The sequence below is a fragment of the Homo sapiens genome, chromosome 3 (assembly GCF_000001405.40).
Source record: "Homo sapiens chromosome 3, GRCh38.p14 Primary Assembly".
In the NCBI taxonomy this organism is placed as follows: Eukaryota; Metazoa; Chordata; class Mammalia; order Primates; family Hominidae; genus Homo; species Homo sapiens.
Window position 1 is genome coordinate 196,036,003 of NC_000003.12, and position 25,808 is coordinate 196,061,810.

The following is a 25,808-nucleotide window of genomic DNA, read 5'->3' on the forward strand; positions in this document are numbered from 1 at the left end:
GTAACCCCCAACCCGGATAATTTTTGTATTTTTTGGTACAGACGGGGTTTCGCTATGTTAGCCAGGCTGTTCTCGAACTCCTGGCCTCAGGTGATCCGCCTGCTTCAGCCTTCCAAAGTGCTGGGATTACAGGCCTGAGCCACCATGCGGGGCCTGAATTTCAAATTAGGTTTTTCTATTTCTGCAAAAAACACCCCTGGGATTTTGAAAGGGATTTTGCATTAACTCTGTAGATAGGCTGGGCAGTATTGTCATCTTAACAACTACGCCTCCCAATCCCCAACATGGAATATCCTTCCATTTATTTATGTCTTCTTTAATTCTTTTGGCAATGTTTTATAGTTTTCAATACATAAGTTTAAGTCTTGTGCCTCCTTCGTTAAATTTATTCCTGTGTATTTTTAATTCTTTTTGATGCTTTTTTTTTTTTTTTTTTTTTGAGACAGAATCTCACTCTGTCACCCAGCCTGGAGTGCAGTGCAGTGCAGTGGCACAATCTCACTGCAACCTCCGCCTCCCAGGTTCAAAAGATTCTCCTGCCTCAGCCTCCCAAGTAGCTGGGATTACAGCTGCGTGCCACCACACCCGACTGATTTTTGTATTTTTAGTAGAGACGGGGTTTCACCATGTTGGCCAGGCTGGTCTCGAACTCTTGACCTCAGGTGATCCACCCACCTTGGCCTCCCAAAGTGCTGGGATTACAGGCGTTGAGCCACTGCACCCAGCCAGAATTGTTTTCTTAATATCCTCTCGGAATGTTCATTGCTAGTGGATAACAATGCAGCTGATTTTCGTGTGTTGATTTTGTATCTTGCCATGTCTCTGAATTCTGGAGTGAGATGTAACCATTTTATTGTGGATTCTTTAGAATTTGCTACATGTAAGAGCGTGTCTTCTGTGAACAGAGGTGATTTTACTTCTTCCTTTCCAGTTCAGATGCGATTTATTTTTGGCCGAGTTGCTGTGACTACAACGGCTACTACTGTGTTGAATAGAAGTCCTTATCTTCTTTCTGATGTTTGGGGTAAAGTTTTAAGAAATTCACCATTGTATATGATATTAGCTGTGGGTTTTTCAGATATAACCTTTATTATTTTGAAGGAATTCCCTTCCATTCCTAGTTTATTGACTGCTTTATCATGAAAGTGTGTTGGACTTTGTCAAATACTTTTTCTGTATCAATTGAGATGATCATTTGGGGTTTTCCCCTTCATTCTATTAATGTGGTGCATCACCTTGGTTGATTTTCCTATGTTGAACCATCCTTGCATTTACAGACTAAACCTCACTTAGTCATGGTATATAATTATTTTGATAAGCTGCTAAATTTGGTTTGCTAGTATTAAACATTTTGCATCAATATTCATAATGGCGGACGGGCACAGTGGCTCACGCCTGTAATCCCAGCACTTTGGGATTCCGAGGTGGGTGGGTCACGAGGTCAGGAGTTCGAGACCAGCCTGGCTAACACGGTGAAACCCCATCTCTACTAAAAATACAAAAATTAGCTGGGTATGGTGGTGCGCGCCTGTAATCCCAGCTACTGGGGAGGGTGAGGCAGGAGAATCGCTTGAACCCGGCAGAGGGAGGTTGCAGTGAGCCGAGATCGTGCCACTGCACTCCAGCCTGGGCGACAGAGCGAGACTGTCTCAAAAAAAAAAAAAAAAAAAAAAGAAGAAGAATTCACCAGTGAAACCATCTGGTGAAGAAAAGGCCAGGTCTTACTGATTCAACCTTAGTAGTTCAGAGTCTATTCAGATGTTCTACTGCTTTATGAGTCATTTCTGGTATATCGTGTATTTCTAGGAATATGTGCATCTAATCTAGGTTATCCAATTTGTTGTATACAACTGTTTATGCTATTCTTTTATAAACCTTTTACTTTCTGTTAAATTGGTAATAATGTCTCCAATTTCATTTCTGATTGTAGTAAACTGAATCTTCTCTCTTTTTTTCTGAATCCACCTGGTTAAAAGTTTGTCAATTTTGTTGATGTTTTCAAAGAAAAACTTTGGTTTCATTGATTTTCTCTGTTTTTCTATTCTCTACTTCATTTATCTCAGCTCTGGTTCTTTATGATTTCCTTTCTTCTAGCTTTCAGTTTAATTTGCTCTTCTCTTTCTAGTTCTTTGAGGTGTACAGTTAGGTTGTCAATTTCAGATCTTTCTTCTCTTTTTAATATAATTATTATTTGTCAATTATGCCTCATAAGAAGAAAAGAATTCTGAGTAAAAAATAAAATAATACAGAATTTGTCAGCTACATAAAAAATAAAACACAGCCATATTTTATTTACAAAAGAAACATTTTAAGTATGTAGACATACATAGTCTAAAACTGAAAGGATGAAAATAGATCATGCAAATATTAACCAAGGGAAAAATTATATGGCTATATTAATATTGGACAAAGTAGATCTAAAGTAGAATTACAAGATATAAAGATACGCATTTCAAAGTAATAAAAAGATCAATTCCATAGGCAGCTCATAAATTTGTAAATATCTAAAAGCATGAATTTCAGTTATGTAAAGCTTACAGAACTATAAACTGTGGTTTATAGCTTATAACTATAGAAGTAATATACAAGTCCGGTGGGGCACAGTGGCTCACGCCTGAAATCCCAGCACTTTGGGAGGCCGAGATGGGTGGATCACGAGGTCAACAGATCAAGACCATCCTGGCCAACATGGTGAAACCCCGTGTCTACTAAAAAATACAAAAATTAGCTGGGTGTGGTGATGTGTGTCTGTGGTCCCAGATACTCGGGAAGTTGAGACAGGAGAATCACTTGAACCCAGGAGGCAGAGGTTGCAGTGAGCTGAGATCACGCCACTGCACTCCAGCCTGGTGACAGAGTGAGACTCCATCTCAAAAAAAAAAAAAAAAAATTAGTAGAAGAAGAAGTAATAATACAAGTCTGCAATCGTAGGGGACACTAATCCACTGTTTGCAGTATTTTTCTTTCATGTATAGATTTACAACTATAAATTTCCCTCTTAATGCTGTTTTTGTTGCATCTCATAAGTTTTGGTAGGTATATTTTCTTCTTCATTTATTTATCTTAAGGTATTATCTAATTTCTCTTGTGATTCTTTGTTAGCTCATTTGTATTTAAGAGTGTTAATTTCCGGCCGGGTGCAGTAGTTCATGCCTGTAATCCCAACGCTTTGGGCGGTCGAGGTGGGCAGATCACAAGGTCAGGAGTTCAAGATCAGCCTGGCCAACATGGTGAAACCGTCTCTACTAAAAATACAAAAATTAGCTGGGCATGGTGGCACACGTCTGTAATCCCAGCTACTCAGGAGGCTGAGGCAGGAGAATCGCTTGAACCTGGGAGGCAGAGGTTGCAGTCAGCCGAGATCGTGCCATTGCACTCCAGCCTGGGCAACAGAGCAAGACTCCATCTCAAAAAAAAAAAAAAAAGTGTTAATTTCCATATATGTGTGAATTTTCAAGTTTTCATTGTTATTCATTTCTAGTTTCATTCCATTGTGATTGGAAAAAATGCTTTGTCTGATTTCAGTCTGTTGAAATGTATTAAAACTTGTTTTTGGCCAGGTGCCAAAACAAGTTTGTGTCAAATCTTTTATCACTATATAATGCCCTTTTTTGTATTTTGTAATCATTTTAAAGTCTATTTTATTGATAATAATACAACCACTCAGCTCTCTTTTAATTACTATTTGGTAAAATACCTTTTTTCATCATTTTACTTCCAACATTATGTCCTTACATCTAGAGTGAATCTCTTGTTGACAACGTATAGATGGATCTTGTTTTTTTTTTTTAAATCCAATCTGCCAATCCCAGCCTTTTCATAGGAGAGTTTAATTCAGTTACATTTAATATTAGTGATAAAACTATATTTTCTTTTGCCATTTATGCATTTGTTTTTGTATGTCTTACATTTTAAAAATTCCTCAATACCTTCATTACTGCCTTTTTGTATTTTTTTAAGTGTACTTTTTAAACTCCTGTCATCATTCCATTTCTGTACATTTTTAAATTATTAACGGTTAACATGGGGGCTACAATTCACATCTTAAATGTATAACAACCTAGTTTTGTTTTGTTTTGTTTTGTTTTGTTTTGTTTTGTTTTGTTTTGAGACAGGGTCTCACTCTGTCGCCCAGGCTGGAGTGCAGTAGAGCAATCTCGGCTCACCGCAGCCTCCACCTCCTGGGTTCAAGTGATTCTCCTGCCTCAGCCTCCCAAGTAGCTGGGATTACAGGCATCCACCACCACACCCAGCTAATTTTTGTATTTTTAGTAAAGACAGCGTTTCACCGTGTTGGGCAGGCTGGCCTCTAATACTGGCCTCAAGTGATCCACCTGCCTCGGCCACCCAAAGTGCTGGGATTACAGGCATGAGCCACCACGCCCAGCCTTAAATTTGTAACAACCTAGTTTGAATAATACCAGCTTAGATCCAATAGTATATACTATGCTCCTATAAATCTGTCTTTCCCTCTTTATATGTTATTGTCACAGATTACTTCTTTATACATTGTGTACTGATTAACATAGATTTGTAATTATTGTTTTGTGCATTTGCCTATTATATAAGAAAAAGAGAAAAGCCACAAGGAATGCCGAAAGTACAATAATACTGGCTTTTATATTTATCCACATAGTTCCCTTTACCACTGCTCTGTCTTTTGGTCTCATGGCTTGAGTCGCTGTCCAGTGTCCTTTCATTTCAGCCTTATACCACTTAGCGTTTCTTGCAGATCGGTTATACTGGTAATGAGCTCCCTGAGCTGTTGTTCATCTGGAAATGTCTTTATTTTCTCCTTCATTGTTGAAGAACAGCTTTGGCAGATATAGAATTCTTGGTTGCCAGTTTTTTTCTTTCAGAACTTCATGTCATCCCCATTGCCTCTGGCCTCCATGGTTTCCGAAGAGAAGCAGCTGGTAATCTTACCCAGGCCCTCTTGAATGCGGCTGGTAATCATCTTACCAAGGCTCCTCTTCTATGTGATGTGATGTGTCAGTTCTCTTTTGCTGCTTTCAAAATTCTCCTATTCTTCCTTTGGGTTTTGATAACTTGATTATATGTCTCAGTGTGCATTTATTTGAGTATATCCTACCTGAAGTTCACTGAGCTTCTTAGATGTGTGTATTCATGGTTTTCCTCAGATTTGGAAAGTTTTAACCATCATTTCTTCAAATGTTTTTTCTTCCCGTTTATCTCTGCCTTCTTCTGGGACTTTTATAATTTACATGTTGGCATGTTTAATGGTATCCCACAGGGACCTCAGGCTCTGTTGTTTATTTTTCTTCATTCTTTTTCCACTCTGCTCTTCAGATTGGATAGTTCGTTGTTTTAGAGACAGAGTCTCACCCTGTTGCCCAGGCTAGAGGACAGTGGTGTGATCATAGCTCACTCTAATCCCCAACTCCTGGCTCAAGCAATCCTCCCACCTCCACATTCCAAGTAGCTGGGACTATAGTACCTGCCACCACACCTGGCTAATTTAAAAGAAGAATTTTTTTTTTTTTTTTTACAGATGGGATCTTGCCATCTTGCCCAGGTCTCAATTGATCCTCCTGCCCCAACCTCCCAAAGAACAGAGATTACAGGTGTAAACCACTGCACCTGCCAGACTGGGGAGTTCTAATTTTCTTATATTACAGTTTACTGATCCTTTCTTCTGCCTGCTCAAATGTGAACCCCTAGATTGATTTTCTTTTCTTTTTTTTTTTTTTTGAGACAGAGTCTCATTCGTCACTCAGGCTGGAGTGCAGTGGCACAAACATGGCTCACTGTAGCCTTGACTTGACAGGCTCAAGCGATTCTCCCACCTCCTCAGCCCCCTGAGTAGCTGAGACTATAAGTACGTGCCACCACACCCAGCTAATTTTTGTGTTTTTTGTAGAGCTGGGGTATTGCCGTGTTGCCCAGGCTGGTCTCAAATTCCTGAGCTGAAGTGATCCACATGCCTCAGCCTCCCAAAGTGCTGAGATTATAGGCATGAGCCACCATGCCCCACTCTATAGCAACTTTTTTATTTCAGTTATTTTATTTTTCAGCTCCAGATTTTCTATTTGGTTGCTTGTAATAATTTCTATCTCTTTATTGATATTCTCATTGGTTCATGTATAGTTTTCTTGATTTCCTTTATTTTTTTTCCATAGTTTCCTTTAGCTCATTGACATATTTAACACAGTTGATTTAACATCTTGGACGAATAATTCCAGTGTCTGGGCTTCCTCAGGGGCTAATTTCTGTCAAATTGGTTTCTCCCCCTCTCCGTGTGTAGGCTACACATTCTTGTTTCTCTGTTTTGTAATTTCCTCATTGAGAACTGGAAATATTTGAACACTGTGTTGCAGTAACTCTGGAGATCTAATTCTCTCAGTCCTCAGGGGTTGCAGAACCTTGTTTATTGAGTGTTGGAGCCATCCATTGTGACTTTTCCGAACTATTTTTTGCGAAGCATGCCTTGTTATGTGTGGTCACTAAGGTTTTTGTTCTATTACCTCAGCAGTCACCTTCCCCAGTCAAAAGCAGCAATCAGCCATCAAAATACAGAATCCTGAGGTTTGGAAGACAAGGTTCTTATTGCCCACCCCGGCTTCCGGAAGCCACCCCAGGAATAGAGACCACCCTTCTCTCAGCTGCCTGCTGTGGGGCTGGGAAGTGGGGATTTGAGGCACTACCGACAAAGCCAAAAATTGGGTTCTCTCCTGGATGTTGCACATGTTCAACTAGACCCCAGTTCCACAATAATGACTCGGAACAGTTCCTGACAACGCAATGGTCGTTAAGTGGAAAGATGGCTTCCTGGCACTTCCTAATATACCACCACCTATGACATCACTCCATTTCTTTTCATTGCCAAAGCATATTCCCTTGTGTGCTTACATCATATTCCCTTGTGTGCTTACATCATATTCCCTTGTGTGCTTACGTCGTATTCCCATGTGTGCTTATATCGTATTCCCTTGTGTGCTTACATCATATTTTGTTTATTTGTTCATCTGGTGATAGACTTTTGGGCTGTTTCCAATTTGAGGCTATTATAAATAATGCTGCTATGAACATTCCCATATACATTTTTATGTGGACATGTTTTCATTTATCTTGGATATATACATACGCATGGAATTGCCAGATATACTGATTTTTTAATGTTAAACTACACTTGCACTCCTGTAATAAACTCTACTTGGTCATGATATATTGGATTCAATTTGCTTGTATTTTGTGAAGGATTTTTGCACATATATTCATGAAAATATTGGTCTGTAATTTTTGTTTTTATACTATCTTTGTTAGTTTTGGGCATGTTATGTTGGCTTCATAACAAGTTGGACAATTGTTCCTCCTCTATGTTCTAAAAAAGTTTGTGTAATTGAGTTGTGAGGTGGGGTTTCGCTCTTGTTGCCCAGGCTGGAGTGCAGTGGCGCAGTCTCAGCTCACCATAACCTCTGCCTCCCAGGTTCAAGCAATTCTCCTGCCTCAGCCTCTCAAGTAGCTGGGATAACAGGCACGCACCACCAACGCCCAGGTAATTTTTGTATTTTTAGTAGACGTGCGGCTTCACCATGTTGGCCAGGCTGGTCTCGAACTCCTGACCTCAAGTGATCCACCCATCTTGGCCTCCCAAAGTGTTAGGATTACCGGTGTGAGCTGCTGCGCCCGGCGTCGTTACGGTTTTGAATTACACCTATGTACACCTGTCTTACTGAACACAGGAAAGAGATATTCGTCACAGATCTATGATGGTCATTACATTTATTTCCTCAATCAATAAAAGAGAAATAACACGTAGGAAAGATGAGTTACTATTCCCGAGAAACAACCAATCAAGAACATATCGAATCCAAACTAATGATGTGAAATATTAGTTCTTATGTCAGGAATGTGATCCTGCTTTTACTTGAGTGAAATTAAAGTGTGGAAATTGGCCGGGTGTGGTGGCTCACACCTGTAATACCAGCACTTTGGGAGGGTGAGGCAGGCGGATCACCTGAGGCTGGGAGCTCGAGACCAGCCTGGCCAATATGGTGAAACCCCGTCTTTACTAAAAATACAAAAATTAGCCAGGAATGGTGGCGGATGCCCGTAATCCCAGCTACTCAGGAGGCTGAGGCAGGAGAATCGCTTGAGCCCAGGAGGTGGAGGTTGCAGTGAGCCACCTCTGTACTCCAGCCTGGGTGAGGGAGTGAGATGCTCTCTCCAAAAAAAAAAAAAAAAAAAAAGGAACAAAAAGTGTTAAATTTGAGGTCAAGGAGAAGAAAGTGGACCACAATTTTATATAGGTAATATTTTTGTGATGGAAGTAAAATAGACATGCAGATTTAAAAATAATAATTGTATATATGGGTCTACTCAGATGTCCTGATTTTACGTTAATTTTGGTAATTTGAATATATCAATAAATTCGTCTACTTATATTTAAGTTGTCAAATTTGGGGACATAAAGTTGTTCAGAGAGCCAGACGCAGTGACTCACACCTAGAATCCCAGCAACTCGAGGCTGAGGTGGGAGGATCACTTGAGGCCAGGAGTTCAAGACCAGCTTGGGCAACATAGCAAGAGCTTGTCTTTAAAAAAAAAAAAAAAAATTAAGGCCGCTACCGCCGGCCTGTGCCCGCCTGTGTGGCGCGGGCCTGGAGGAGCCGTCGTGGGCTCGGGTGGAGGCTGCTCCTGTGGAGGGTCGTCCTGGCTCACAGCCGCCATCATGCTAGCGCTCATCTGCCGCCTGCCGGACGGTCCCCTTCGCTCGTCTGGAAGGAGGAGATGGAGCCGATGCTCGTGGGCTGCAGTACTCGGGCAAGGCCACCTTCGTCACTGCCATCACGTCAGGTGAATTCAGCGGAGATATGACGGCCACAGTGGGTTTCAACACGAGGAAAGTAACTAAAGGTCATGTCACAATAAAGATCCAGGACCGGCCGGGCGGTGGCTCACGCTTGTAATCCCAGCACTTTGGGAGGCCGAGGCGGGTGGATCGCCTGAGGTCAGGAGTTCGAGACCAGCCTGGGCAACACGGTGAAAGCCCCATCTCTACTAAAAATACAAAAAATTAGCCGGGCGTGGTAGCGGGTGCCTGTAATCCCAGCTACTCGGAGGCTGAGGGAGAAGAATCGCTTGAACCCGGGAGGCGGAGCCTGCAGTGAGCCGAGATCGCGCCACGTCACTCCAGCCCGTGTGACAGCGACGAGTCAAGGCTATTGTTTACAGGATAGATGCTGCAGATCGTAAGAAGATAGAAGCTTCCCGAAACGAGCTACATAATCTTCAACAAGAGCAAAACTCCAAGTCAAAAACAAAACAAAAAAAAATTGAGACTTGTTTTACCACCCAATGTATTAGTCCATTCTCACATTGCTTTAAAGAACTACCTGAGACTGGGTAATTCATAAAGAAAAGAGGTTTAATTGGCTCATGGTTCCGCCGGCTACACGGGAAGCATGACTGGGGAGGCCTCAGGGACTGCGCCATCATGGCAGAAGGCAGAGGGGAAGCAGGCGCATCCCACACGGCTGGAGAAGGAGGAAGACAGCAAAGGCGCTGCGCACTCTCAAACTACCCGATCTCGTGGGATCTACCATGACAGCAGCAAGGGGGCATTCCGCCCCCGTGATCCAACCACCTCCCACCAGGCCCCCTCCTCCAACACTGGGGATTACGATTTGACCTAAGATTTGGGCAGGGACACAAATCCAAACCGTATCACCCAGTATATGGTCTATCTTGCTGAATATACCACATATACCTAAAAAAAGTATATTTTGCAGTTGTTGAATGTGGTGTTCTACAAATGTCAAGTAGATTGAGGTGGCTGATACAGTGGTTCAAATAATTTGTCCTGATTTTTTTGGTCTAGCTTCTCTATTTACTGCTAAGAAATGGGTGTTAAAATCTATTTTAATGGCAGAATTTTCATTTCTTTTTCATGTATTTTAAGGTGCATACGTATTTATAAGTCTGCTATCTTCCTGAATGGCTCTCTTTACAATTATAAAATATTCCTATCTTTACGGTACTATCTGTTCAAAGTCTATTTAATCTTATATTTATATAACCATTCCAGTCATAGTATGCTAGTGTACATATTGTATTTTTTCCCCTTTCAATTCATCTGTCTTTAAAGTTTCTTATAGGCAGCATATAAATGGGCCTTGATTGTTTTTTAATCATCAGTCTTGATTAGAATGTTAACATGTCAATAATGTAATTATTGATATGGCTGGACTCAGCATGCCACTTCACCAGTTTTTTTGTTTGTTCCTCTTTTGGTTCCTGCCAATTCTTTCCCTTTTGAGGTCACTTCTCCAAGTTTTACTCCCCTCCACTGTTTGCCTACCTTTGTTTACATCTCAGGTTTGGGAGAGTTTTCCCCCCGTCTTACTGAGCTTCTGGCTGTAAGCAGCAGGAGGGATAGGTTGTAGGAGGCTTATGTGGTGACTGTGGAACCAGAGCCCCCATATATGCTTTTAGGAAGATCTGGTATAGAATTCTCATTTATGCACAGACAACTTTGAAAATGTACATAAGAAATCGGTAAATGACCAGGCCCAGTGGCTCACACCTGTAATCCCAGCACTTTGGGAGGCTGAGGCAGGTGTATTACTTCAGTCCAGGAGTTTGAGACCAGCCTGGGTAATAAGGCAAAACCCCATCTCTCAAAAAATACAAAAATTAGCTTAGCTGGGCATGGTGTTGCCTGTCTGTAGTCCCAGCTACTCTCAGGAGGCTTAGGTAGGATAGCTGGAATCCAGGAGGCGGAGGTTGCAGCAAGCTGAAATCATGCCACTGCAATCCAGCCTGGGTGACAAGAGCGAGACCATCTCAAAATAAAAAAAGAAAAATTGGTAATTGTGGAGATTTAGAGGGATGACAACTCTGGAGACTAAGAGGAAAATACTTTTTAATACAGACTTTTCTGCACTTTGACCGTATGTGAATATTTTCAAAAAAGGCATTAAAAATTATACAAAGCTGGCCAGGTGCGGTGGCTCACGCCTTTAATCCCAGCACTTTGGGAAGCCAAGGCGGGCGGATCACCTGAGGTCAGGAGTTCGAGACCAGCCTGGCCAACATGGCGAAACCCCATCTCTACTAAAAATACAAAAATTAGCCGAGCATGGTGGCATGCACCTGTAATCTCAGCTACTGGGGAGGCTGAGGCAGGAGAATCGCTTGAACCTGGAAGGCAGAGGTTGCAGTTAGCTGAGATCACGCCATTGCACTCCAGCCTGGGCAACAAGAATGAGACTCCATTTCAGAAAAAAAAAAAAAAGAAAAGAAAAGAAAATTATACAAAGCTGTCCATTTGGGGTGGATTAAGCATGAGGCAGCTTAAAGGGCAAATGCAGCAAACTGCAAAGGCTTTATTTAACTCAGCACCTAAACCTGTTGACAGCCACAAGGAAGACATTGGTATCTGATATTGAATTCTAGGCAAAGCTGTCTTGCAGATAACCAGGTGTTTTACAAATATTTGTTTAGGACAGCTTCCTAACCCATGACCTTTCACATAGGCAGTTTCTCCCGTAGAATACAGCAGTTTAATAATCATCTTGCTTCTCAAGGGTATGAATGTGGCTAATTTGGACACGGGAAAGCTGGGGCATAGGTGAGGCAATTAGGCTTCCAATTCTAGGGGCCACAATTTTCGTGGCCATACTTAAGAATCCTGGCTGGCACTCATAGCAATGAGATTCAATTGTGTGATGGATTTTTTGGTAACCACACGGTAGAAGGCCAAAATAAGAAAACTCTCAACAATTACGCCTTTTGCTATAGAGCTGGTGTCCACTAACCATGTGGCTACTGAGCACCTGAAATGTGGCTAGCCAAAACTGAGATGTGCATTGCTTGAGGTACAAGGGAGTTTGAAGACACGGTATGGAGCACACCTGTAATCCCAGCCTCTCAGGAGGCTGAGGCACAAGAATTGCTTGAACTTGGGAGGTGGAGGTTGCAGTGAGCTGCGATGGCACCACTACACTCCAGCCTAGGCGATGGGGCGAGACTGTCTCGGGAAAAAAAAAAAAAAGGAGGCAGAGCGTGGTGGTGGCTCACACCTGTAATCACACACTTTGGGAGGCTGAGGTGGGCAGATCACTTGAAGTCAGGAGTTCAAGATCAGCCTGGCCAACATGGTGAAACCCCATCTCTACTAAAAATACAAAAATTAGCCAGGCGTGGTGGCCCACACTTGTAATCCCAGTTGCTCAGGAGGCTGAGGCAGGAGAATCACTTGAACCCAGGAGGTGGGGGTTGCGGGGAGCCGAGATAGCGCCACTGCGCCCCAGCCTGGACGACAGCAAAGATTCTGTCTCAAAAATAAATAAAATTACATATGTGGTATATGGTGACAATATATTGTATATTTAGAAATTGCCAATAGAGGCTGGGCATGGTGGCTCACGCCTGTAATCCCAACACTTTGGGAGGCTGAGGCAGGCGGATCACCTGAGATCAGGAGTTCAAGACTAGCCCGGCCAACATGGTGAAACCCCACGTCTACTAGAAATATGAAAATTAGCTAGGCGTGGTGGCAGACACCTGTAATCCCAGCTACTCGGAGGCTGAGGTAGGAGAACTGCCTGAGGCGGAGGCTGCAGTGGGCTGAGATCGCCCACTTAGAAGACAGCAGCAATCATGTACCTTGGTATTTACCTAAAGAGCTGAAGACCTATGTTCACAGAAAAGATATACACACAGGTGCTTATCAGTTTATTCATAACTGCCAAAACTTAGAAGCAAGATTACTTAGTAAGTAGGTGAGCTAGATAAACTATGGTAACTGCAGACAACAGAATATTGTTCTGTGCTAAAAAGAAATGAGGTATCATGTCATGAAGACATGGAGGAAACAAATGCTATTGCTTAGTGAAAGAGGCCAATCTGAAAAGGCTATATTCTGATTCCAACTGTATGACAGTCTGGAAAAGGTAAAATTATGGATATAGTAAGATCTGTGGTTACCAGGGCCTTATAGAAGAGATGGATGAATGGGCAGAGCACAAGATTTACAGCAATAAAAACTATTCTGTAAGCTACTAGAATGATATTACATATTTGTCAAAAACCGTAGAACAAACCCTAACGTAAACAGTAGACTAATGATGCTGACGGTGCTAATGGTGCACCCGTGTAGGCTGCCCATTGTAACAAATATGCCGCTCTGGCGCAAGCTGTTGACCGTCATGGAGGATGTGTAAGTGGCAGAAACAGTGGATGTGTGGGAATTCTGTTTAATTTTGCTATGAGCCTAAAACTGCTCTTTTTAAAAAATTTATCTAAAGAAATGACAACTCAGTGTTTAAGTATTTTATTAAATCAGACAAGGAATCTCCACACTGTTGCACATAACAGCTTTTATACAATGATAAGGACATATCATTTGTTTACAAAGAAAGTCTAAAATTTCAAGAACATTCAAAGAGCTAACACAGTAAAGGTCATGCAAGTTCTAGAATAGTGAATCATGACAGAACTCATTCATTTTATCCTTTACCTCCAAAAGGCCCATCTCCTTAACGAGAAGACATCTCAAGACCAGGAGCTTGTCACTAGTCTGATATTTCATTCAGGAATATTGAGCCTGTTAGCACGTACTGGCTTGATAGGAAGTAACTCAACCCTAACTGTAGAAAAGGGTTTTCTGAAGAGACTCACTGCTGCAAAATGCATGCCCTGTATTCATATTGTGTTATACGATGAACATGCCACATGCTTTCATTTAAGTACGTGTGCGTAACACCCGAACCAGGAATCTCAGCTATGACCTTTTCACTTAGCTACGCTAAATGTCAGTCCAAGATAAAAGAGGAGATTAAAGATAAAACTGAAGATTAAAGAGACTGTGAGTAGTGACACATTCAAGTGAGGCTGTAAATCTAGGTAAGTGACACTAAGAACCTGAAGAGACCCTATGAACTTTTCCCTAGGAGGCCGTTTCCAACTGCCCTATGACAAACAGCTGATCATCACGTTTATAATGATGGTTCACTCACGGAGCTTCGAACTTATTCATACCTACATTTAATTGATCACCACGAATGGGTAGGCAGACGTGTCAGACCTTCAGGGGACTCTCCTTCCCCACAGCCCCCAAACCTTCTATACAAAGTCCCTCTGCTTTAAGTCAAAAGGTCAATTCTGGATTAAAACTTGTCCGCACTAAGTTTATAGGAGGTAACATGCAAATAATGTGATAAAGTTAAAATGACTTGTCAATAGCAAACATTATAAATGTATGCTACTATCTCATTAAGTAGAGGACCTGGAGAAACCATAAAGGTAACAAAAACCCAAGCTAAATTTCAAATTTTGTAGTAATTTCATTTTACAGTGGTTGAATTTACCCACCCAATGCTTAATGACCACAAAATGTTTCTGCAACTAAAACTAAAAGATAGGGAATTATAGGAGTTGGGATACATGTTAGATACTAACGATCTTCAAGCTTTGAAGATGTCATTGCATGAAGAAAATTATGGGAAACACTGTTCCCGATAATTACTTACACCCTTAGTGTAACATATGGAGATCACTGTCTCCGATACAGACACTGTGGTAGGTAAAAACTACCTTGTTCTTTATACATTATGGAAGACACTGCTCCCGATAATGTGTTAGGATTGTGACAAAGGTACTGGAAATTTTGCAAAATGGGAATTAGAGTTACACCTTGGATAAACTGAGCTATAAAATTTTGCAGGAGTACTACCACAGCCTTTAAGTGACATTGATTTATAACTTGGTCACAATTCACTGCATTTAGGAAAACCAGCATTCTTATCTGGTCAGTGCTCGCTTCTTAGCAACCCCTAATTAAATTTAATTCATCTCTAAATCTTAGCTTCAACTTTATTCAATTACATTTGGCTGACGGCTGTTTTCTAAAACCCTTAAGTGTTGACCATAAATGCAAAACTTCCAGTATCTGTTGGGTTTTATTAGCAGATGCTGCTTTTATTTAAAAAAAACCGACAGTATAACTGTCATAATTATGGAAGGCACTGCTTCCGATAATTATATTCTATTAAAAAAACACCATTTATAGTGAACTCTGTCACTGATAAATAAACAATAAATATCTCAGTGCCAAAAGGACAGAAAGCTCTCCCCTAAGATTAACACTTTGGCCAAAATTTGGCAGCATATTATTCTTTAAAGTCTGACAAACTGAGTCTGCAACTAAACACCTGAAACTGGTTCTCTTTCAATGTGCTTTGGAAGAAACAAAAATAACAAAGAACTAAATGGAGGCTTATGGGGGAAGGGACAGAGGAAAAGAAAATATACTAAGTCTTTGGCTTCTGGTCCCCTCTTTTCATAAATGACACTGAGGTTAACATATTAAGGCCTTATTCCTGCAATCAACAGTTGAACCTCATTTTATCCAGCAGAAGGACCTCCATTTCAGACCTCATTGGCAAGAAAACAAGCCCATCTCTTCTGAAAGTTAACTGTTTCTTTCAGGAATGAGGAAACCAGCTACATTCCTTATGGAAAGGCTTAGATCTCATTTGGAGAAGGTCTTTCAACCTGGTATCTCCTATTTAGCATCAAATGAAGTTGGAGGATCACTCAAAGTAAGCGACCACTTACAACCTTCAGCAGAGACCAGCCCTTAGGATTCAGAGAGATCATTCACATAACTGGTTTCTGACATTTTCATTAACAACAACAGGAAAGAGGCAGTTCCCATTACAAAGCACTTAAAATTCTAGAGATAGGGGAATATTCCATCATGGACATTTTTTAAGTGGTTATTCACTTTAACTTGAAGTACAGGTTATCTACCCTGTATTAAAAGCTGCTGCCTAAAGACATCTAGTAGTACCAAGATGATGGGATGGAATTTTAACATCAGGTTTTGTAGCCCTACTGAAAATTTAGCACGATCAGCACAAGTCTAGAAACCAGACTACCCTGCTGTTCTCATGGAAGCTATGGGTATCACATTTAAAACTCATTGTCAATGTCCCAAACGTCACCAGAGAGGGCATTTGCAGCTCCCTGAATAGTCCAAGTAGCTAGAGCCAACTGGTTTCTGAACAGCGTTTCATTAAAAGCACCGTTATTTTGTTTACGCAGTTTCAAGTTCTCCAGTAAAGCTGGCAGCGTGTGAGAGCCGGAGCCCCAGAAGACATGTCGGAAAGGAGACTCTTTTGGAGATACGTAGGGAGAGAGGAAGTGATACTCCACCTACGAAAACAACACACAAGGCAATTTACACAGCCCTGTGACTTTTGTAGTAAAACAACAGTTCACTTCAAATGTAAAATGTCCCAAATTTAAGAATGCCGATCAGACTTTTTTTTTTTTTTTTTTTTTTTGACACAGAGTTTCGCTCTTGTTGCCCAGACTGGAGTGCAACAGCGCTATCTCGGCTCACTGGTACCCTCCACCTCCCGAGTTCAAGCAATTCATGCTGGGATTACAGGTGTGAGCCACCGTGCCCGGCTTTTTGTTGTTGTTGAGACAGAGTTTCGCTCTTGTTGCCCAGGCTGGAGTACAATGGCGCGATCTCAGCTCACTGCAACCTCCACCTCCCGGGTTCAAGTAATTCTCCTGCCTCAGCCTCCTGAGCAGCTGGAATTACAGGCATGCACCACCACGCCCAGCTAATTTTTGTATTTTTAGTAGAGATGGGGTTTCTCCATGTTGGTCAGGCTGGTCTTGAACTCCTGACCTCAGGTGATCCGCTTGCCTCGGCCTCCCAAAGTACTGGAATTACAGGCATGAGCCACTGTACCCAGCCAGCTGATCAGACTTTCTATAGCAGAGTAAGGAAAAAAGAATGCTGAGAACCAGGCTAATGCTAATCTTCTAAGGTTAAAATTCTAAAGGAGGCTAGGCACAGCGGCTCACGCTTGTAATACCAGCACTTTGGGAGGCCAAGGCAGGTGGATCACTTGAGGTTGGGAGTTCGAGACCGGCCTGGCTAACATGGTGAAACTCCGTTTCTACTAAAAATACAAAAAATGAGCCGGGCGTGGTGTTGGGCACCTGTAATCACAGCAACTCGGGAGGCTAAGGCAGGAGAATCACTTGAACCTGGGAGGTGGAGGGTGCAGTGAGCCGAGACCGTGCCATTGCACTCCAGCTTGGGCAACAACAGTGAAACTCTGTCTCAAAAAAAAAAAAAATTTTTTTAAAGGAAACTGATTCATTTTACAAAGGAAAACTTTAAATGTGTTCAGATTCTTTTCCCCATTGGAGCATACATGGAAGTTTTACAGCAAGTCTCTTCCAAAAAGACTAGGTTTGACTAAGTTCTGAATTAGACAGCAGAAACAGAAAATGACAGCTAAACCATTAATGCTCCCTTCTTAAAGGAATTCTAGACTCCTAGAGTTTGTCCACTTTGCAGAAGTGTAAGATTTATCGGTTATTTTACACATACTTTAGTTCCTCCTTTCCCAAAAGTTCACTTACTCTCATGACACGATCATTGAGTTTCTTCATGACAAATCTGTCTGTTTTCTCAGCATTCCCGAAATCTGTTGTTAGTCTGGAAGTAGCACGGAAGAAGTCTCCACGAGCAGAATACAGCCACTGTAAACTCAGGCCCATTTCCTGAAACAGACATTATTCGCTATGAGAAGTTTTATTTCTAAGGACATTCTTTTGTATGCCTTTCTAATTTAACGTGCGTTAAGTAAGATTCTGATAAAAGGAACTCGCAGATAAGCTCAAGACTCCGAAAGCACCTTGCACAGGGGTTCCAAGCTCTATGGACTGTGATATACACTCATATTTGAGCCCAGCATGTAAGAAAACCATTCTCATTAAGAAATTGAACATAATTATATAATCCTATGTACTATATTGTTTCCAGTTCAATTCTCCTTTTGGGGGAAAATGTCCCTATAGGGGAAAACATTTTGGTTCAAGGTACTTCAGGATTTAGTTATTTCCACCTGGTAAGTTCCATTTTCAACAGTTACAATTAGTTTCAAGAAAGACATAAGATGCCGGGCGTGGTGGCTCATGCCTGTGATCCCAGCACTTTGGGAGGCCGAGGTGGGTGGATCACCTGAGGTCAGGAGTTCAAGACCAGCCTGGCCAACATGGTAAAACCCCGGCTCTACTAAAAATACAAAAAATTAGCCGGGCGTGGTGGCCGGCACCTGTAGTCCCAGCTACTCGGGAGGCTTAGGCAGGAGAATGGCGTGAACCCGGGAGGCGCATCTTACAGTGAGCCGAGATCTCGCCACTGCACTTCAGCCTGGCCAACATGGTAAAACCCCGGCTTCTACTAAAAACACAAAAACTATCTGGGCATGGTGGCACACGCCTGTAATCCCAGCTACCTGGGGAGCCGAGGCAGGAGAATCGCTTAAAGCCGGGAGGTGGAGGTTGCAGTGAGCCGAGATCATGTCATTGCATTCCAGCCTGGGGGACAAGAGCGAGACTTCATCTCTCAAAAAAAATAAAATAAAAATAAAAATAAAAAAGATATAAAAAGATTCGGTTGTCAGTGATTTACTTCAATTAAGAGATCTGTTAAAAATCAACTCCTAGTACCATAAAACAATCTGGAAGCTACTTTAATATTAGTTTTATTAATTTATTTAGAGATGGGATTTTGCTATGTTGCCTGGGCTGGACTCCAGCAATCCTCCTGCCTCAGCAGAAGTAGCTGGGGCTACGGGTATGCACCACCTCACCCTGCTTATCAGTTTCGTTTAATAGAATATTTGACTTTTAGATGCGCAGATCACTACGAGATGGAATCCTGCTAGCTGTGCTGTCTTTCCATCCGGGTCACGCCCGAGAGGCACACAGCCCAACTCCTTGCTGAGATCTTCATATTCCGTGTCCTACTGACGGGCTGCCTGGGAGACATGAGTGACAGAAAACCTGACACTGCTCTGGATTCTGAAACACCTGCTGAGCTCTGTCCTAGGTCTCTAATCCACAGCCTCCCGACTTCTCTCAAACAAGTTACCAATTCTACATACAATTATACCTCAGTTCACTTTAAAATGTACTATGGCTACAATCACCCTTCCAACAGGAACACACAGGAACACATCACATTTCAAAATACTTGACATTCAGCAAAATAAAAACGTAATTGGAATCAGTGCTCACCTTTATGTCTGCTCTGTATTGGTTCAGATCCCTCACAAATGAAAGCAGTTGGCTGTTGTACCTCTCATAGTCCAGGTTCAATTCAACATCATGGGTTAGTTTAATCACGAACTGACCAGCGACCTCTGCAGCTGCTCGTGCCACTTTGTTCAACTCAGGAATCCTCTCAATCAGTTCCTTATAGGTGTCCATGGTGGTACCCAAATAAGGATAATCTGTGTCCTGCAAGACAACGCGAGGCTATGGTACTCACGTGAGTTCTAAGAGCAAGAGCCTCACATTCTGGCTTCGCCATCGAGGTAACAGTGACGACAGTTCCACCCTTGCTTCTAACATATTCCTACCGCAATTTACCCCAATTCTATCTCATTATCTGCTGCTTTAAGTACATTCTTGCTACTTCTCTCAAGCTAACCTACTCCTAGAGTGACTACTTTCTTCCAGGTTCTACAGAATCCCTGTTCTATCGTATCATATGCCCTGAATAGACTTCTAGCCAAATTCCTTAAGGCTGTATGTTTTTCTCTCTGGGAAGTTTGGGCCTTTATCAATGAAAAAAGAGAAGATACATGAAACATACCTTGAGACGAGGTCTCTCTGTCACCCAGGCTAGAGTGCAGTGATGCAATCACGACTCCCCACAGCCTTGAGACAAGGTCTCTCTGTCACCCAGGCTAGAGTGCAGCAATGCAATCATGACTCCCCGCAGCCTTGAGACAAGGTCTCTGTCACCCAGGCTAGAGTGCAGCGATGCAATCATGACTCCCTGCAGCCTTGAGACGAGGTCTCTCTCTGTCACCCAGGCTGGAGTGCAGTGATGCAATCATGGCTCCCTCTAGCCTTGAGACGAGGTCACTCTGTCACCCAGGCTAGAGTGCAGTGATGCAATCACAGCTCCCCGCAGCCTTGAGACGAGGCCTCTCTCTGTCACCCAGGCTGGAGTGCAGTGATGCAATCATGGCTCCCTGCAGCCTTGAGACGAGGTCACTCTGTCACCCAGGCTGGAGCGTGGTGATGCAATCATGGCTCCCCACAGCCTTAAGCTCCTAGCTCAAGTGACCCCCCTGCCTCAGCCTCCCAAGGAGTTGGGACTACAGCTGGCCACTGGGCCACTTAATTTAAAAAATTTTTTGTAGAGATATAGTCTAGGCACGTTACCCAGGCTGGTCTCACTCCTGGCCTCAAGTGATCTGCCCACCTCAGCCACCCAATGTGCCGGAATTATAGGTGTGAGTTACTGCACCCAGCCTGAGGAAAATACTGTTCAGCTGGACTGTCCAATAGATAGCCACTGCTCAATCACTCAAGAAATTCAGCCTTGGTTTTTTTTTTGTTGTTGTTAGACGATCTTGCTCTGTTGCCCAGGCTAGAGTGCAATGGCACGATCTCGGCTCACTGCAACCTCTGCCCCCTGGGTTCAAGCGATTCTTCCACCTCAGCCTCCTGAGCAGCTGGGATTATAGGCATGTGCCACCATGCCCAGCTAATTTTTTTGTATTTTTAGTAGAGATGGGGTTTAACCATGTTGGCCAGGCTGGTCTTGAACTCCTGACCTCAAGTGATCTACCCGCCTTGGCCTCCCAAATGCTGGGATTACAGGTATGACCCACCACACTCGGCCAAGCCTCATTATTAAAACTCATAAAGAAGTTTTAGCAATAAACTCAAATGCTAATTAAGCTAATTGAGATTAACAAGTCTATGTTAAAACTAATAATGAAGGAACATGCAATAATTACATGTGTATAACTTTTTTTTTTGAGACAGGGTCTTGCTCTGTCACCCAAGCTGCAGTGCAGTGGCTCCATCTCAGCTCACTGCAACCTCTGCCTCCCAGGTTCAAGCGATTCTCCTGCCTCAGCCTCCTGAGTAGCTGGGGTTACAGGCACACGCCACTATGTCCGACTAATTTTTGTATTTTTAGCAGAGACGGGGTTTCACCATTTTGGTCAGGCTAGTCTCAAACTCCTGACTTCGTAATCCGCCTTCCTTGGCCTCCCAAAGTGCTGGGATTAAGGGAGGAGACCACCCCTCATATTGTCTTATGCCCAATTTCTGCCTCCAAAGAAAGAAGAAGTAAAAACTAAAAGGCAGAGGTGGACAGCCCAGCGCTGCCGCACCCTGGTCCTGGTTAAAGATCGAGCCCTGACCTAACCAGTTATGTTATCTATAGATTCCAGACATTGTATAGAAAAGCACTGTGAAAATCCCGTCCTGTTCTGTTCTGTTCTAATTACCGGTGCATGCAACCCCCAGTCACGTACCCCCTGCTTGCCCAATTGATCACGACCCTCTCACGCAGACTCCCTTAGTTGTAAGCCCTTAAAAAGGTCAGGAATTGCTCACTCGGGGAGCTCAGTTTTTGGAGACGTGAGTCTTGCCAAAGCTCCCAGCCAAATAAAGCCCTTCCTTCTTTAACTCGGTGTCTGAGGGGATTTGTCTGCGGCTTGTCCTGCTACAGGATTACAGGCGTGAGCTACCACATCCAGCACATGTGTATAACTTCTTAAAACATTTTAAGCACTGCAGTAAATTTGGTCTCAAAGTTGACACAAGAAGATCCATGGCCAGGTGTAGTAAGTAGCTCTTGCCTATAATCCAAACAGTTTGGAGGCTGAAGGGGGAGGACTGCTTGAGGCTGCAGTGAGCCATGATCGGGCCACTGCACCCCAGCCTGGGTGACAGAGCAAGTCACCATTGTCAAAAAAAAAAAAAAAAACAAAACAAAAAACAAACAAAAAAAACCCAACAACTAAGATATGTGCAAGTTGTCAAAATCAAAATGGAGTCACTAGTGTTAACAAAAATGCAACCCTGAAGAGAAGGGTCTCACCCTTGTATGTCTGATAACAAGGATTAAGGGTTTTTTTTTTTCCTTTTTACAAAAACTACAACCTTACACAAAGGCCACTGCAACCTTGCACCAAAAAACTTCTCTCGTGAGAAAATCTGCCTAGCAACTGCCTGTCAACCTTGGACTGGTGTCATCCTTGTTATTGATCTTGGTAGCCAAGAATAATTACCTCAAAGTAATTTTGTAATCCTCGTCATTTGTCCTTAAAAACTTGTTTTCCTTTACTCCTCTGAATATGTACATAGTTGACTATAGCACAGGCATTCCCATTGCAATGCCCTATTCCCAAATACAGATCACTTCCTTTTAGAGAGCCTCTCTCCATTTGTCATTTAAATGAACAGACTTACCTCGCAAAAACAGAAAGAAACTGCTGGGATTCCAGAATATGCAAGGAAAGGGAAAGCAGCATTGTCTAAAGTGAGTTTCTCACTGCAAAGACAAAGAATGTGTCTTTAGAAAGTGTTTTAAAGAATAGACTGTTCTATCGTGCTAGTCCCCCCATCCAAAATAAATTCTTTAGCTGAATATCTTTAGGTGTAAGTAAGTTCAATGCAAGGACAGATTTAGATTCTACCTAATGTAGTAGGTAGAATCTCTGCTTTTCTATTAGTTTGTTCATTCACTTTTCTCAACTTACACTTTGCTGGCCCAGTTGCTGTCCTGATATAGAAATTGCCCAGTAACCGGATGCTTCACCTGTAAGATAAGAAATTATCATTAAAACTAACCTTTTGGAACTTATTTATTCAGGCTAGTCACTAACATGTTACTCTATAACAATTTTTAAATAAAAAACTTGTATTATATCTTCTTGAAAAGAAATTATTTATGATAGTTAAAACAATCTCAACTTTAAGTTATTACTAACTAGGCTCATGTTGTCAGTTCCTTTAGTTATGGTGAGGAAAAAATGTTTTCTTCTTAATTAACATTTTAAAAGTGGGCCTAGGCCGGGTGGGGTAGTTCACAACTGCAATCCCAACACTTTGGGAGGCCGAGCTGGGAGGATCACTTGAGCCCAGAAGTTTGAGACTAGCCTGGGCAACACAGCAAGACTTTATCTCTTAAAAAAAAAAAAGGAAAAAAAAATGAATAAAAGCTGGGCGCGGTGGCTCACACCTGTAATCCCAGCATTTTGGGAGGCCAAGGTCAAGAGATCATGAGGTCAAGGGATTGAGACCATCCTGGCCAACATGGTGAAACCCCGTCTCTACTAAAAATACAAAAATTAGCCAGGTGTGGTGGTGTGCACCTGTAGTCCCAGCTCCTCAGGAGGCTGAGGCAGGAGAATCGCTTGAACCCAGGAGGTGGAGGCTGCAGTGAGCCAAGATCGCACCATTGCACTCCAGCCTGAGTGCTGGAGGAAGACAGAGGAAGACTCCATCTCAAAAACAAACAAACAAACAAACAAAACCATGGTGGCTTACCCACAATTGTAAAAGCCCTCTCTGGGCTTCACACTATGCCTATCTTGTTTCTGGTTTCTTCCTTCTAGTGCATCTTATGCCACCAACCTAACTGGCAAATTCATGATCACCTTGCTTGAGATCCTATAATCCCTAGTATCTCTTGGATCAAGGCCAATGTCTGCTATCTGACCTGTTTCTAACTTTACTCACTCCAATATACAGCCTCTAATCCCATTAGGCAAATATTTTCTTTTTTATTTATTTATTTATTTTTTTTTTAATTATACTTTAAATTTTAGGGTACATGTGCACATTGTGCAGGTTAGTTACATATGTATACATGTGCCATGCTGGTGCACTGCACCCACTAACTCGTCATCTAGCGTTAGGTATATCTCCCAATGCTATCCCTCTCCCCTCCCCCCACCCCACATAGGCAAATATTTTCTTTCACATGCTCTCCCTCATTCAAAACTATGGTAATTGTTTATTCAATGAATATTTCCTCCGGCCTTCTCAAAGTATAGTTCAAGTTGATTTAAGCCTTCCTTAGCATTGTGACTCTATAGACAATCCCCTGTGGGCCCCTGCACTACAGCTTAGGCCTCATGGCATTTTGTTATATATTCCTAAATAAACAACATATTCTTTAAGATTGGAGCCCTCATCTCATATGGTTCAATAGGCAAGTATCCCTTAAATAACGCTGCTATAAAATTTATTCTCAATTCCTATTTTTTGTTACTGACTACGGTTTACATATCAGTGTTTTTTATCTCAGGTTGATTCAACAAAAATTAAGTCATACATTTTTGTAATGAGGTATATACTCACATTTTGCATTGTTTTCTCAATAAGCGTATACAACAGTGGGCTGGCAGAAACCTTGAAGTTGCTGGTACCTGAAAATAAATTGTTTTATCATTGCCCCTTCTCCATTCCGATAATTTTCACACTGCTACTTCTACAACTATAAGTACTTGACAAATAAGACAGTAATCTAGATCAGTGGCCCTGTGCAACAACTATCCCATTCATCAAGTAAACAAAAGTAATTTTGGTATCAAGCTCTTTAGCAACTAAGCTAACTTCACTCAAGTGGGCTCGTACTACTCCTTGAGTTTGCATACTTTAATCCAAGTCACCTTTTTTAAAAATATCAGAGCAGTTAGGCCGGGCACGGTGGCTCACGCCTGTAATCCCAGGACTTTGGGAGGCCCAGACGGGTGGATCACAAGGTCAGGAGATCGAGACCATCTTGGCTGGCACAGTGAAACCCCGTCTCTACTAAAAATACAAAAAATTAGCCGGGTGTGGTGGCGGGCACCTGTAGTCCCAGCTACTCGGGAGGCTGAGGCAGGAGAATGGCATGAACCCGGGAGGCGGAGCTTGCAGTGAGCTGGGATGGCGCCACTGCACTCCAGCCTGGGTGACAAAGCGAGACTCCATCTCAAAAAAAAAAAAAAAAAAAAAAAAAAAAATCAGACCAGTTTTAGGTTCAGCAGCAAAATTAAGAGAAAGGTACCTAGAGGTCCCATAAATCCACTGCCCCCACACATGTGCAGCCTCCCCCATTAGCAATTTCATGTTTAACTTTCTGGTTCACCCAGGTTAGAGCTATACATAGTATGCTTGCTATACTCAGCACATTCTGCGGCAAACATACAACAGGGAAATAACTAACCTAGAGAGGTTTAATTGTAACTCTTTCCTTTTTTCCCCCATGTAGACATTTCACTATTCTCAGCTCATCAGCTACATCTGCACTTTCTTTTTTACCCCATTCCTGTTGAATGTACAGCTGCACTTTAAATAACATTCAAACCCTTTTGTCAATTTTCTGCTGCCAGTGAACATTCAAACTCTTCTAGAAGTTTCATTATCCAATATTTCTATCAGTGATGCCACAACGTAACAGGATGTGAATTACTCTCTAAGTACCATTCTATATGGCATAGTTTAGTTTCTTCTCACCTCAATATAGTCCAGACTTATGGTCCTAAAACTTTAGTCCATCAGAATTACCTGTAGTGCTTGTTAAAGTTTTTTGTTTCTTTGTTTGGGTTTTTTTGCTTCAGGATACTTTGTCCTTAAGAAAATAATAGGTTTTTATTCCCCAAGGGTTGCCAAAAAAAAAGCCCAGTTTTTTTGTTTGTTTTTTTGAGATGGAGTCTCGCTCTGTCGCCCAGGCTGGAGGGCAATGGCGCCATCTTGGCTCACTGCAACCTCTGCCTCCCGGGTTCAAGTGATTCTCCTACCTCAGCCTCCTGAGTAGCTGGGATTACAGGTACTCGCCACCACACCCGGCTAATTTTGGTATTTTTAGTAGAGACGGGGTTTCACCATGTTGGCCAGGCTGGTCTCGAACTCCTGACCTCAGGTGATCCGCCTGCCTTGGCCTCCCAAGTGCTGGGATTACAGGCGTGCACCACTGCGCCCAGCCCAAAAAGCCCAGTTTTTAGACC

General features: G+C 42.4%; 1 protein-coding gene and 1 pseudogene across 5 annotated transcripts in view, besides 4 other annotated features; one reads left to right on the forward strand and one right to left on the reverse strand.

Annotated features, from left to right (window-relative positions):
• ARL8BP1 (ARL8B pseudogene 1) lies at window positions 8,693-9,252 on the forward strand (annotated as a pseudogene).
• The window catches only part of TFRC (transferrin receptor), a 32,807-nt gene continuing 20,280 nt past the window's right edge, over window positions 13,282-25,808 (reverse strand). For all 5 annotated transcript variants that reach the window (NM_001313966.2, NM_001313965.2, NM_001128148.3 and 2 more), the window contains 6 exons: window positions 24,178-24,245; window positions 22,572-22,630; window positions 22,282-22,363; window positions 19,078-19,299; window positions 17,416-17,556; window positions 13,282-16,182 (listed from right to left, as the gene is read on the reverse strand). In NM_001313966.2, coding sequence (NP_001300895.1) covers window positions 15,940-16,182; window positions 17,416-17,556; window positions 19,078-19,299; window positions 22,282-22,363; window positions 22,572-22,630; window positions 24,178-24,245 — 815 coding nt within the window. In that variant the 3' untranslated portion in view covers window positions 13,282-15,939. The remainder of the gene's footprint in view (window positions 16,183-17,415; window positions 17,557-19,077; window positions 19,300-22,281; window positions 22,364-22,571; window positions 22,631-24,177; window positions 24,246-25,808) is intronic.
• Window positions 19,503-20,028: an enhancer, noted in NCBI's record as "H3K27ac-H3K4me1 hESC enhancer chr3:195782376-195782901 (GRCh37/hg19 assembly coordinates)". NCBI's record gives its function as "activates a minimal SCP1, AML or CMV promoter by ChIP-STARR-seq in primed H9 embryonic stem cells {active_cell/tissue: H9 hESC(primed)}" and the evidence as "EXISTENCE:reporter gene assay evidence [ECO:0000049][PMID:30033119]".
• Window positions 21,942-22,142: a silencer, noted in NCBI's record as "peak4990 fragment used in MPRA reporter construct". NCBI's record gives its function as "represses an SCP1 promoter by STARR-seq MPRAs in K562 erythroleukemia cells {active_cell/tissue: K562}" and the evidence as "EXISTENCE:reporter gene assay evidence [ECO:0000049][PMID:32103011]".
• Window positions 21,942-22,504: a biological region, named in NCBI's record as "NANOG hESC enhancer GRCh37_chr3:195784876-195785377".
• Window positions 22,003-22,504: an enhancer, noted in NCBI's record as "NANOG hESC enhancer chr3:195784876-195785377 (GRCh37/hg19 assembly coordinates)". NCBI's record gives its function as "activates a minimal SCP1, AML or CMV promoter by ChIP-STARR-seq in primed H9 embryonic stem cells {active_cell/tissue: H9 hESC(primed)}" and the evidence as "EXISTENCE:reporter gene assay evidence [ECO:0000049][PMID:30033119]".